This window comes from Homo sapiens, chromosome 3 (assembly GCF_000001405.40).
Source record: "Homo sapiens chromosome 3, GRCh38.p14 Primary Assembly".
NCBI classification, from domain to species: Eukaryota; Metazoa; Chordata; class Mammalia; order Primates; family Hominidae; genus Homo; species Homo sapiens.
The window spans coordinates 52,320,038-52,333,186 of record NC_000003.12 but is presented as its reverse complement, the minus strand read 5'-3'; the positions used below and the strand labels follow the sequence as shown (position 1 = coordinate 52,333,186).

The following is a 13,149-nucleotide window of genomic DNA, read 5'->3' as shown; positions in this document are numbered from 1 at the left end:
CAGCCGGGCATGATGGCTCATGCCTATAATCCCAGCACTTTGGGAAGCCAAGGTGGGAGATTTACTTGAGCCTAGGCATTCAAGGCCAGCCTGGGCAACATAGGGAGATCTGTCTCTACAAAAAATAACAAAATTAGCCAGATGTTGTGGTACATGCCTAAGTCCCAGCTACTCAGGAGGCTGAGGTGGGAGGCTTGCTTGAGCCCAGGAAACTGAGGCTACAGTGAGCCAAGATGGCCCCACTGCACTCCAGGCACTCCAGCCTGGGTGACAGAGTAAGAACCTGTCTCAAAAAATAAACTAAAATAATAAATAAAAAGAGCTTCCTTGGAGAAACAGCTGGTTTCAGGACTGGACCTGGGAAAGTACACAATGAGCCTGGAAATTCTTGCTGTGCCAGAAAGTAAAGTTATCTTAGGGGCATCTTGCTAATAAATCATCATCTAAGGGTTTTGAAGAATGATGGAAACATGGTAAGGCGACACAGGAATTAGCTTGAAAAGTCTCCCGCTGGCCAAATCTAGGACAATTTGAGCATCAAAATTTTTAAAAAGTAGTCAATTGTAACCCTTTGAATAAAATAAGGATCCAGGAGTCCATATGGATAATGAGGGATCTGGAGATGAACAAAAAATTGTTTGAGGCCCCAACAAGTCCAGAGGGCAATAGCCAGGACAGTCTCAAACAGATGAGCCCTGAGGGAGCTCCACCCTGGAGTAGCACCAACTTCCTATGGGAAGGTTCCCTGAAGAAGGTGATGCCCAGAATAGGGAAGGCCGAGCGGGGACTCACGAGGGGCCTTTGCGCATCCGAGGCGTGCTCAGGGCCCACTGCTTGATCTTGCTCAGGCTCTGTTCACTGATGACATGCTGGCCGTCAGAGGGCATGCAGTCCACATACAAGTTGTAGAGCAGCAGTGCTTCCGTGTTCTTGCGCAGGGCGTTGGCCTGGACCACACGTTGTGCGAACATGCAAGGGTCCTCAGCGCAGAAGAGAAGCTGGATCCGTGGCACCCAGTACTGACAGACCTGAAGGGGTGGCCTTCCTGGGGGCCGGGTGAGAGGGAGAAGGGGACACACAATCAGGCTTTCTGGGCTGAAACACTAGGTTCCGGCCGGCTGTGCCGTGGATGCCCAGTGGCCCTGAACAAATTGTTTCCCTCTTCTGACCCCCTGTTGCATCTGTGAAATGGGCATGACGACACTTCCTGCCCGGCCCATCTCACAAGGTGTCATGGACGGATGTGAAAGCACTTAGACAAGGCTGGGGCGTGGTGGCTGACACCTGTAATCCCAGCACTTTGGGAGGCCAAGGAGGGAGGATGCTTGAGGCCAGGAGTTCGAGACCAACCTGGCCACCGTGGTAAAACCCTGTCTCTACTAAAATTACAAAAAAGTAGCTGGGTGTGGTCGTGGGCACCTGTAATCCCAGTTACTTGGGAGACTGAGGCACGAGAATCACTTGAACCCAGGAGGAAGAGGTTACAATGAGCCAAGATTGCACCACTGCACTCCAGCCTGGGTGACAGAGCCAGACTCCATCTCAAAAAAAAAAAAAAAAAAAAAAAGAAAAGTATTTAGACAAGGAGTTATACAGGCATGGCTGTTCAAGTGCCCATCCCTTGATCCCACACCCAGGGCAGGCATCGCTTATTGATGGGACTTGGGCTCAGAGCTGACATGCCAAATAATGGCCACTTGCCCTTTCTGGGGTCTCTGAGTGATGAGTCCTCTGGTCCTCACCGGTCAGGGCATTGGGCAAACAGAAAAGTAGAATTCAGACCTGATCTGGCAGTGCCCTGGGCGGAGTTGGCCTCAGTCACAGGCCGGCCAGGCCCAAGCTGGGGTTCTGCCTGGGGCAGCGGCAGGACCTCATACCTTCAGTGGTGACCCCTGCATTCAGGATGGGCCTCCCCATCTCATCTCGCACCAGGCCTTTCTCGTCTGTCTTGTGTACCAGGTATAGCTTCTTCTCCTCGTCGTAGTCCAGGACGCCGACCTCGCACCATTTGTACTTCAGCTTCTGACTCTTGGGGTCCTCTGAAACAGGAGGAGAAACTCCACCAGTGCCCCCCGCCATGGGGGCAGGAAGGGGCCTCTGAGTGCTGGCAGCATCGCTGGGAATGGGTCTCAGAGATCACCAGTCTGGCGTCTCTCCCGCTGGGATGCCCCCCTCTGCTCCAGCAGAGCCAGGGCCCTGCTTCCTCCCAGCCGAGCTCGCCTCTGAGGAACCCCGTGCTGCAGAAGGAGCCAGAAAGACCAGGCTTCTCTGCCCTGGTGCTCAGCACAACCTCCACCAGGGCAGAGAGACACACAGGCCAATGGGAGGCTGGGACAGGTGGCACGAAAGCCCCAAGTTAAAGGAGACCTGCTGAGAACCCAGTTGTAAAGGTCAGGAATGAGTTGGACCCCCTTCAAGGTGACCATGGCCAGGGTGAAGCCCTCCCCACAGGCTGCCCCTGGCTGCTCAGTCCCTGGGCCCCTCATCTGAGAACAGGGCACGGCAGGGCAGGGCAGGGCAGGAGCCGCTCTTTGGTCAGGATTGGCCTCCCACTGGTTTCCTGGGCTGAAAGCCTGTGCCCACTTCTCTAGCTTACCTCCCACCGCTGCCCCTCACTCATTTCTCTCTAGCCACACTGGATGTCTGGCTATTCCTGTGAGTTTCGACCTTGTTCCCACGGCAGAGCCTCTGCACTGCCTGTGCCCTCGGCTTGGAACACTCTCCACTCAGGTCGCCTCATTGCTGGTTGTTCCCTTCTCCAAGGAGAAGCCTCTGTGCCTAAAATAGCACCCCTGTCCCAGGCACTCTCTGACTTGTTACCCCATTCTGTTCCTCACAGTGCCGAAAGTCACACTACTTATGCATCAGCTCCTGGTTCACAGCTGACCTGCTCACACTAGTGTCAACTCACTAAGGGCAGGAGCGACTTTGTCCCATCTCAGTCACAGCTGTGTCCCTGGGCCTGGAATGGAAACTAGTACCTTGCAGGTGTTCGATAAACTTTTGCAGAAGGAAGATGCACACATATGGTGCCCAGCAGAGCAGCCGCAATACATAGTGGCTTAAAAACAAACTGAGGCCAGGCGCGGTGGCTCATGCCTATAATCCCAGCACTCTGGGAGGCAGAGGTGGGCGGATTGCCTGAGCTCAGGAGTTCGAGACCACCTTGGGCAACATGGTAAAATCCCGTCTCTACAAAAATACAAAAAAATTAGCTGGGAGTAATGATGTGTGCCTGAAGTCCCAGCTACTTGGGAGGCTGAGGCACAAAAATTATTTAAACCTGGGAGGTGGAGGTTTCAGTGAGCCGAGATAAAAACTGTTTATTTTTGTTTTGTTTGTTTCTGTTTTTTTTTTTTTTCCAGATGGAGTCTCACTCTGTTGCCCAGGCTGGAGTGCAATGGCGCGAGCTCCACTCACTCCAACCTCCGCTTTCCAGGTTCAAGCAATTCTCCTGCCTCAGCCTCCCGAGTAGCTGGGATTACAGGTGCACACCATCATGCCCAGCTAATTTTTGTATTTTTAGTAAAGACGGGGTTTCATCTGTTGTTCAGGCTGGTCTTGAACTCCTGACCTCATGATCCGCCTGCCTTGGCTTCTTAAAGTATTGGGATTACAGGCATGAGCCACCACGCCTGGCCCCCTGGTTTTTTTTGTTTTGTTTGAGTTCTACAGACTAGGTTGAGGAAGGAAGGGCTGGAATTCTCAGGAAATGCTCCCCACCTGTTGACACCAGCTAGCTGAGTAAAGGATGGTAAACAAGGTCTATAGCTCACCTATTTTGCTTCTCTGTTTTGCTTTTCCCTTCCCTTCCTAGTAGGTTGCCTTTCTGAAAATACTGGCCTTGTCTCGGCTCAACTCAGATGAAAAGATGTCACTGGAAGCTCCCAGCAGAAAACAAGAGGTCCCCAGCAGAGCCTCTCCCTGCTCACCCCTCCTCCCACCTGGGCCACCACCCCAGACCAGGGCCATGTGAAGGGGTGTAAGCAGAGCACCTCGATGGAGGCTGCTACTTGGTGCATTTAAGGCTAATGCAGCCCCAAACCTTCTGGTTTTATCACCAGGAATTGGCGATCTGGGAACAATTGAGTTAAATTATTTTTGTAATTAAGTCCAAAGTAAAGGTAACATTCTGGGCTTCTTGTCTAGTTCAGAGAAATTGATTCTAGCATTAAGATGTTTTTAAAATGAAACATAAATTTACAGCCTGCTCAATGGACTCACTGGGCAGGCTTAAAACCAGTCATGGCTATCACAACCCTGCTTCCCACCTGGAGCTGGCCTACTGGGCCCACTCCCAACTCACAGCATCTTGTCCACCCACCAGGTGGGGAGCAGAGCAGCCTTCAGCCCTGCACAGGGGAACAGCCACCTCCAACTTCCCAAATGATGGCCCACACCTTCCTAGGATGTTGCATCGACACCCAGCCGTGCAGGCCGAGATGTCAGCTGCGGATGCCCACCTGGCACTGCTTTCCACAGCAGGAAATGGGAGAGCCTCCACAGCCGCTGGGGCAGGCCTGAGGCCAAAGGAGCAGCCAAGGGCACTCCCTGGGCAGATTATTGACAAGGCCAAGACAAGGCAAACCTGTGTGGCATCAAGTGGGCATGGTGAGGTGTGACAGTGGTTGTGGATGGGTGACAATAGGAGAGTGTGTTTCTGTGTGGTGAAAATGTGTACACAAGAGAGGTTGTTGGGGGTGTGTATGACAGTGAATGTGCTTGTCAATGTGTGTGATGATGGGGATTTGTGTTTGTGAGCAAGTGTGTGATGGTGTGTGTTGTGCACACAAAAGTGAAAGCTGAGAGGCCATGGTTAGAGCTGCAACAATGGGGCTTCTGGGTGGAGGGATGGAGAGTGGAATTGTGCCCCTCGTGCATGTTTCAATATTCCCAATGAGCATGTACATATTTTACTACCAATAAATCAAAGATTTTTCAAAACACTAGACACCATCCAGCTGTCCCTTTTCCAGCTCTCCCAACGATGTTTTCCCTGGTCCCTGCATTCCTGCCTCTGTGAGGCCAGCTTCTAGGCCTGTCTACCAGCTGAGAGGTCTTGAAAGACCCCTCGCCTCCGGTGGCTGCCAGGTCCCAGGGGAGCCCAGGAGTCTGTGACAGGGCTGCTACTGGAATGAGATAGTGTCCCCACTCCAGAGTGGCCTTGCTCACCATGCCCCAGGAAGTCATCAGTGGGCAAGAGGGCTTTTCCCGGGACAGGTTTCCTGTCCAGAGACCCTGGCTCCAAGCCCATGTTGATCCACTCTCTGGGAGTCCGGCAGTCAAAGTCCTCATTGTCAAATACCTGGAAGAAAGCAGGCCAACATTGGGAAGAAGCAGCTCCTCTAGTGGGGCCCAGGTGGGACTGGGTGTGCCAAAGGATGGGGTGCCTAAGTAATACCCTCCCCAGGTGAGAGAGCTGCAAGGTGGCACTGGGGGCTGACCCTCTCCACTGGGGGCTGACCCTCTCCACTGCTAGGACTGGGGGTTGAGCCTCTCCACTGCTGCTCCCAGGGGTACACAGCATCTGGTTGGGTGAAACCCTGGATCCCCATCCAGCCAAGCCACCTGAGGCTCAGGCAGAGGGGTGTCCAGGGACCCAGAGCAGGTGGTGGGTTCTTTCTCCCACTGCCCAGGGCCACCTAGCTCAGGACCAAGGGAAGAGGTGGCCCTTGGGTTTTCCTGGGGACCCTACTCCAACTTGGAACTGGTGAGATTCGGGGCTGTCAGGAGGTAGCCCTTAGCTAGACTCAGCTTTACCTCCTTACAGGGACCACCAGGCGAGAGACACTCAGGGCCGCAGAGAGGAGAGGAGGGGAGGTGGGTGAAAGCCAGAGCCAGGCCATGCTCCCTCTTTCTCCTCCCTGGATTCGTTTCCTGATTTATACCCCACGGGGGTGGCACTGATTCCCTCTTCCATCCCTGCTCTTCCCATTTCAGTGAGCCCAGAAGCAGCTGCCTACCCTGAGGCGGGCACTGGTCAGGGAGGATACTCCACAGTCCAGCTGGGCCGCATCTAGGTTGCCCATGGGTGGCACGGAGGCCGAGGCCAGGCATACAGGCTGCCCAGGGAAGAAGCAAAGACTCAGCATTCTAGGGGGGCTGGGGGCCCCACCTGCCCCATCTAGGATGCTCAAAGTACCTGGGATGGGTTCCTATTGTTGACCTGCCCTGTTTGACAAGAGTGTGCTGGTGACTGGTGGGGGAATCCCCTTTCAGATCTGACTCCTGAGCGTCCACTGGGGTCCTGCACTTCTGCCCCTGTCTCTCAACCATCTGTGGAAGCCCGGCTCACCTTCAGTGGGAGGTAGATGGGGAAGATTGGGTCATGGCCCTGTTCGATGGTTTGGGGGTGCTGGTGGTCCAGGTGCCTGGGCATGAGCTTGTTGGAGTCGATGCCCTGGCTGAACAGCAACTGCTCAATGTCCAGGCTCAGGTACTGCTGTTTCCTCCTGGTCAAGGGCAGGGAGGGGACCTCAGGATGGCTTGGCTCGTGTGAGGTGGCTCCATGGGTGTCCACAAGGGCCTACGGGGTTGTGGGGACAGGGGTGTGGCCGAGAGACCCCTCTGGAGCCCTCCACCCCTCTGAGACTCATCAGGAAGTGGTGTGGTGGCTGGGGCTGGTGTCCTGGGCTCCAACTGCCCTTCTGTCCCGCCCCGCAGTCCCATTCATTGACCTCAATGCCACCTTCCCCAACTCCATAACGTAAATTGTTCCTATTAAGACACCAAAGGGCTAGAAGATTCGATCTAAACACTTGTGCACAGGCTCTGCCATGAGGATTATCACCTGGTGATCTGCAGTTCCTCATCCCCTGAGGCGGGTGGATGCCACCTCCCCGACAGTCTCCCCACAGCCCACCCAGCCGTACCTCTCGATCTCAATCTTGCGAGGATGCTGGCCTGGCAGCACCTGGAAAGGCACCTGCATCTTGGGCTCGTAGGCCTGCAGTGGGAAGTCAGTCTGGGCGAGCAGCCGGGTGGTGGACCCGATGCACTGCTGCTCCATGCGCTCCTGGAAGTCTTCAGGAACCTCAAAGCTTCCGACTGCAGGTAGAAGCAGGGGCAGGGGCTTCAGGGCTCAGGCCAGCACCCAAAAACCAGCCTCCACCCCATAAAATAAATTACCAACCAGGTAGTATGCTTTGGAGTGTGGGAAGCTCAAAGCTTGCCTGTGGCTGGGCAGTGGCTGGGAGAACACAGGCATGGCACCAGGTGTCCTGGGGCTATGAGCCTGGAGGGATGGTGGCTTCCAGAAGGTCTGTCCTAGCCCTGCTCTCCCTGTCCAGAGCCAGCATGCTTGACCACTCCTTTCCACACCACCCAGCACCAGGGGCCATTGCTCAAGCCAGGTGTTGAGTTCAACAAGGGAGAGTGTTACCACTGGATAGGAAGATGAAATGGGATGGTCTCCTCCCACCCCTACTGCAGAGGCCCCCTCAGCATATTGGAGTCTGATATTCATTCCCTGAGGCCATTGCCAGCTTGAGGCATCCTGGATACTGTGGGTGGCTCCACTACTCCAGCCCTGCAGGACCCTCAAGTCAAAAAATGACTGCCGCTACTTAGATGAGCAGGGTATACAGAGGCTTCCATTCCATACCTGGGGGAAGGGGAGTTGGTGGGGAGAGACCCATTGATAGGGTGACCATCCATCTCAGTTTGCCTGTGACACCAGATAATCAATGGAGAAGAAAGTCCCAGGCAAAGTGAGACCACAGAGGTGGGGAGAGGGGTGTGGGCATTTGCTTTAGGAGGGGATGGCCACATTTCCCAGGGCCTGGGTGGGCTCTGGGCAGCCTCCTGATGGTCCCCTCTATTTTCCAGTTGGAAGAAGGGTCCAGAGTCCCAGGGGCCCTGGTGACCCCTTCCTTGGGCCTTACTGCCTCCCTGGGACCAAGAGGTGGTCATGCTGCAGGAGGGCCCACCTTGGGAGTGGCATCTGGGGTCCCACAGAGGCCACCAGAGGTGGTGCCTGGGCAGTGTCCAAGGCTCAGCGGAGCCTCCACCATTAGCTGGAGTCTGCTCTCACCAGGCTGCTGAGTAGTCAAGGGACCTCCCTCTTTGCATCAAAAATGCCCAGATCTCAGGGCTGCCAAGAAGGCTGTTTTCAGAGCCCTAATCACCAGCTCTTGAGGCTGCGTGACACCACTCCACCCCCAGGACCCACTCAGTGGCCAAGAAGGAGCCAGGGCGAAGAGACCCATGCCTGGCCTCCAGACCCTGCTGCGTCCGCGGGCCGGGGCAGGCTACCCCAGCCCTCGGGCAGCAGAGTGAATGTCCACTACTGGTTGCTGAGAGCCCTGATTGACACTACCCTGTGCCGCTGGGGGCTGCTTTTTCTCATGTGGGTAGAGCTGCCATCTGCCAATCACCCCCAGCCCACCCTGCCATGTGTGGCAGGAGCACCATTCCCAATACCCCCAGTGCTGAGATCTGCGGTTAGTAACCATTTTCTGGGTCACAGATACTTGTGAGACTGTTGGAAACAATAGGCCAGACCCTCAGATAAGTGCGCAAATGTACATGCTCGTGATGTTTTCTAAGGCCTGTGGGCTCCAAGAGGACTGGTGTGGACAGCGGCAGGAAGGAGCCAGGTCTTTCCTGGGGGTGGGGAGGAGGGGCGGACAGGGGCAGCCACAGGGCATCTGGGCCTGATCCAAGGGGACGTCCTGTCTGCCAGGGGAGAGGCACAAACCCTGGCCAGGTGGGAGGCCACCTGCGCAGTTCCTCACCACCACTCAGAGCTTCTCCTGGAGCCCCTGTTCTCCCCTCTGCCACTGGGGAAGGCCCCACACCCTGCAGGCCTGTCCCAGTCCTCGCCACCCTAGCTGTGCTCTGAGACTCTCCATGAGCCTGAGAGGAGAGTCCCCCTTTCCTCCTTCAGCAGGGATCTCCCAGGCATCTATCTGAGCCAGGTCCTGTTCTAGGTGCTGGGTCTCCAGCAGGAAGCAACTCAGACAGTCCTGGCCTCTTCAGGGCCCACATTCCACAGGAGGCAGAAAATACACCCATATGCCCTTCTGACCTCAGCCAGGGAAAGAAAGCTGTGGCTCTGACCCCTGGCAGCCCAGCCCAGCCCAGCATCAAGGTCATGGCTCCACTAAGAGTAATGACTCGGTAGCTGTGGCTGACTGAGCACTCACCATGAGTGGGTAATTGTGAAGCACCCTGTTTCTTATTATCCCCGCTCCACAGTTAAGGAAGCTGGGGCCCACAGCCAAGAAAAGGCTGTCTCCCTGAGGCCAAAAGCCTGCTTTGAAATACCTACCGGGACCCACTCACACAGCCCTCCTGAGCACTGACCTCTTGGGGTGAACTTGTCAAGGTCAGCCTGCCGCAGGAGGTTCTGGCTCATTCGGGGGCCACGACATACCTCCTGAAACCAAACCATGGAGCCCTGAGTATGTGTCAACCTCCCAGGGACAGGCAGGACCCGGGAGGGACCCCGAGCCCAGGCGCCTCCCTTGAGACCCACCAGGGAGCACTCCAGGAGCACAGGAGTGGGCAGAACCAGTGAGTATGCACAATTCCCCGTTCAAAGGCCACAGTGGGCAACAAGCTGTGGCTACCCAGGACTTCCTGGCCCCACCCCATTCTGGTCCAGCCCAGCTCCCCTCCTTGATCTGAGAACACTCCACAGTGCATCCCGGGGCTGAGCCATGAAGCAGGTACTGCAAGGCCAGCAGGTATCTCTGTACATACCTCCTCTCCCAAGGGCCACTGGCACTGCAGGTTTAATGCATATCAGGTGGTCCTCACCCTGTCTTTCTTGGCCCCTCCCTGGCCTAAAGCCTAAGGCTGCCTGGGACCTACAGGACTCTGAATTCTCTCCTCGTCATTCCCCCCTCTCTTTTCCCTGCCCCCAGCCTCCTCCCTCGATCTCTCCCCTCGCATTCTAGCCTTCTTCTTCACACAGCCGTGCCCTCTCTCAGGGACCCCAGGTCTTTGTACCTGTTGTCTCCCCCTGCCTGGAACATGCTCCCAGGCCCCACTCTTACATCCTGTCTCTTAGATCTCAGCAGTACATCACCTCATCTGTGGAACCTTCCCAACCAGAGCCAGGGGAAGGGGTCTTCCCTACCAAAGCCACTGCCCCACAACAATGACAATAGGGACGTGGGCGTCTCATCCCTGCTGCATCTCCAGGGCTCCATCCAGGGCCTGGCACACAGCAGGAGCTCAGTAATGAGTTGTCGAATGAATGGACAGATGCATGGGTGGTGAGAAAAATGGATGGAAGGATGGATGAGGGGATAATAGGGGGTAGATGGATAGAAAGACAGATGGATAGATCGATAGACAGCTAAATGAACAGATGGACTGACTGATGGGGAGAAGGATGAAAGGATGGGTGAACGGAGCCCAGAGGAAGGGTTGAGGCTTGGTAGGGGATGGCTGCCATACTCACCCCAAGTTGATCTAAGGTTCCAGGGCTGAGGATGTCGGAGTAGAACCCACGCTGCTTCATCAGCGGGTACTTCTTATCAGTGCCTGTCAGGGGTGACTTCCGTGGCTGCCCCAAGTCTGAGAGTGTGGGTGGGGCCGGGGGCAGGGGTAAATGTGGGAGCTTGGGGTCAAGGGCTGGAGGATTTCCCAACCCATAGTCTGATCCTGGAAGAATCTTCCCCGGGTTATACTCTAGGCCCCTGTGGGTCCCCACTTGGACTGCAGGAGCACTGCTGCACTCTGGGCCCTGAGGGGTCCTTCCCAGGCTATAGCCTTTACTGTTAGGCTGCTCCATGCTGCTTCTCAGGGAGATGCCCCAGCCGAAGCTCCTAGGAGAAGAACCCAGCGTCAGTCAGCCCTTGCCAGCCTCTGTCTTAGCCCCGAGACACATGGATGCCTAGATTGCCTGCCTGCCACAAGCCCCAGCCCATGACCCATGGGTAACAGAAGAGCAAGAAGGAGGGAGTGGTCTCCTCCTAATCTGGACAGGCATACAGTACCCCGAGTCCCACCAGGAGATGGGGTGGGGCCTGCCCTGGACACTGCATGTGAGAAATGAGCCCACCCAGAGTTAAGGGCTGAGTGAGGGGAAACACTGCAGATGCCCCCAACCCATGCATGCGACTGCACTTGTCCACCCCTCTCCCCCATTTTATAGAGCAAGGCCTGACTTCTCAGTAGCAGGAGATGGGGAGGGAGGCCCAGAGCTTGCTCACCCAATAAATTTCCCTAAAATGACTTTCAGCCAGTAGCAGCCCTGGCACCCCCAGCCCATCCCTGCTAGACTTCCCTACCTTTTCCCAGTGTGGTGCATGAGCCTCCCTAGCACCTGTGAGCGCTGGACCATGCCCTGCCTCCCCTGTGTTTGCCCACTCGACCTCCCCCCATACCCTGGAGCCAGAGGACTAAATGGTCTCCCCAGCAGGACCCCAATCCTGACCCTCCATTGGCCCACAGATCCCTCTACCAGCAACAAAATAGCATTCACCCACCCTGGCTCTCAGAGTCAGATCAGCTCAGGAAACGTATACCCTCCCGTCTTATGCAAAGGGAGCAGCAGATGCCGCCAGGGTGCATGCACATCCACCACCTGGAGGACAAGGGTTTATAGAGTTTTTATTGTGGGAGGAGCAAGCCCTTGCAAAGCCACTGTTGCTTTTGGCTACCTCAAAATTCATCACCACGGAGAATCCTTGGGCAGGAGAACATGACAAGAAATTGGACAAGGGTATGGTGAAGAAGAGGTTTGTACATAATGCTAGTGCAAAAAATAAAAAGGGGGTCTACAATTACCTCAATAAAAATTGCAATTAGAAAAAAAGAGGCCGGGGCGGTGGCTCACTCCTATAATCCCAGCACTTTGGGAGGCCGAGGCGGGTGGATCACCTGAGGTCAGGAGTTTGAGACCAGCCTGACCAACACAGTGAAACCCCATTTCTACTAAAAATACAAAATTAGCCAGGTGTGGTGGCACATGCCTGTAATCCCAGCTACGTGGGAGGCTGAGGCAGGAGAATCACTTGAACCCGGGAGGCAGAGGTTACAGTGAACTCAGATCGCGCCATTGCACCCCAGCCTGGGTGACAAGAGCAAAACTCCATCTCAAAAAAAAAAAGAAAAAAGAAAAAAGAAAGAAATGGCCAGGCTTGGTGGCTCATGCCTGTAATCCCAGCACTTCGGGAGGCTGACGTGGGTGGATCACTTGAGATCAGGAGTTAGAGACCAGCCTGGTCAACATGGCAAAACCCCATCTCTACTAAAAATACAAAATTAGCTGGGTGTGGTGGTGCACACTTGTAATCCTAGCTACTCCGGAGGCTGAGGCAGGAGAATCGCTTGAACCCGGGAGACAGAGGTTGCAAGGAGCCAAGATCATGCCACTGCATTCCAGCCTAGGCGACAGAGCGAGATTCCGTCAAAAAAAAAAAAAAAAAAAAGGAAAGAAAGAAAGAAAAGGAAAGCATCTTAATGAAAGGAAATAGAGGCCTAGCCCAAGCAAGCCCCCCTTCCCTGGCCCCATCCCATTTTCCCATCCCTTCTGCACACTGAGACAAAGAGCCAAGAGCTTGAAGAACAGGGCACTCTTTTTGCTGGGTGTTTTGTGCTAGTGTAGGCCTCCTGATGGATCATGGCAGGGGGCCCTTGCCTGCACTGACTTGAGGAGTGGGGTGGGTGGCCAGGGCTGTCTAGAGCAAAACTACCCAGCAGTGCTGAAGCAGCATGCAGCAGCTGAGTCCATTTCTAAGAAGTGAGTGGTGAGTTGTCAGGGCGCCTGAGGGCCAAAGAAGGAAAGATGGGGCTCTGGCAGGAAGCCCCAGACATTCAGCCCAAAGGCCGACCTGCCTCCAGCCAGTCGGGCCTGCCCGGCCTCCCCTAGCGGGACTCTGCTCCCTGAATCCAGTCTCTGGTGGCCAGCTGCCTCCCAGGACAGGTGCTGAAGACAATGCCGAGTCTGGCCCACCTGTCTAACAGTCACCAACACTTCCCGAAGTACCCTAAAGAACAGAGGACGCCTTGGGGCTCAGCTTCATCATGCTGCAAACCCACAGATGACTGTTTCATCTTTGAACAAAATCACCCAACAGAGCAGGGCTTGGAGAGGCCAGGGTCCCAGCTCCACAGGAGAGCATTCCATTCCATGACTTCCTCAGCTCCCAGATGGGCCTGAACATGCTTACATGCTTGGTTTGCTTTACTGGT

The 13,149-nt window shown here is 55.3% G+C and overlaps 1 protein-coding gene across 4 annotated transcripts in view; it reads right to left on the bottom strand.

The window, feature by feature from the left end:
* DNAH1 (dynein axonemal heavy chain 1) overlaps positions 1-13,149 on the bottom strand; it is an 89,573-nt gene that overhangs the window by 67,306 nt on the left and 9,118 nt on the right. For all 4 annotated transcript variants that reach the window (XM_017006129.2, XM_017006131.2, XM_017006130.2 and 1 more), the window contains 7 exons: positions 10,412-10,778; positions 9,307-9,379; positions 6,873-7,047; positions 6,296-6,452; positions 5,173-5,305; positions 1,878-2,039; positions 793-1,045 (listed from right to left, as the gene is read on the bottom strand). In XM_017006129.2, the coding sequence (XP_016861618.1) occupies positions 793-1,045; positions 1,878-2,039; positions 5,173-5,305; positions 6,296-6,452; positions 6,873-7,047; positions 9,307-9,379; positions 10,412-10,744 (1,286 nt within the window). In that variant the 5' untranslated portion in view covers positions 10,745-10,778. The remainder of the gene's footprint in view (positions 1-792; positions 1,046-1,877; positions 2,040-5,172; positions 5,306-6,295; positions 6,453-6,872; positions 7,048-9,306; positions 9,380-10,411; positions 10,779-13,149) is intronic.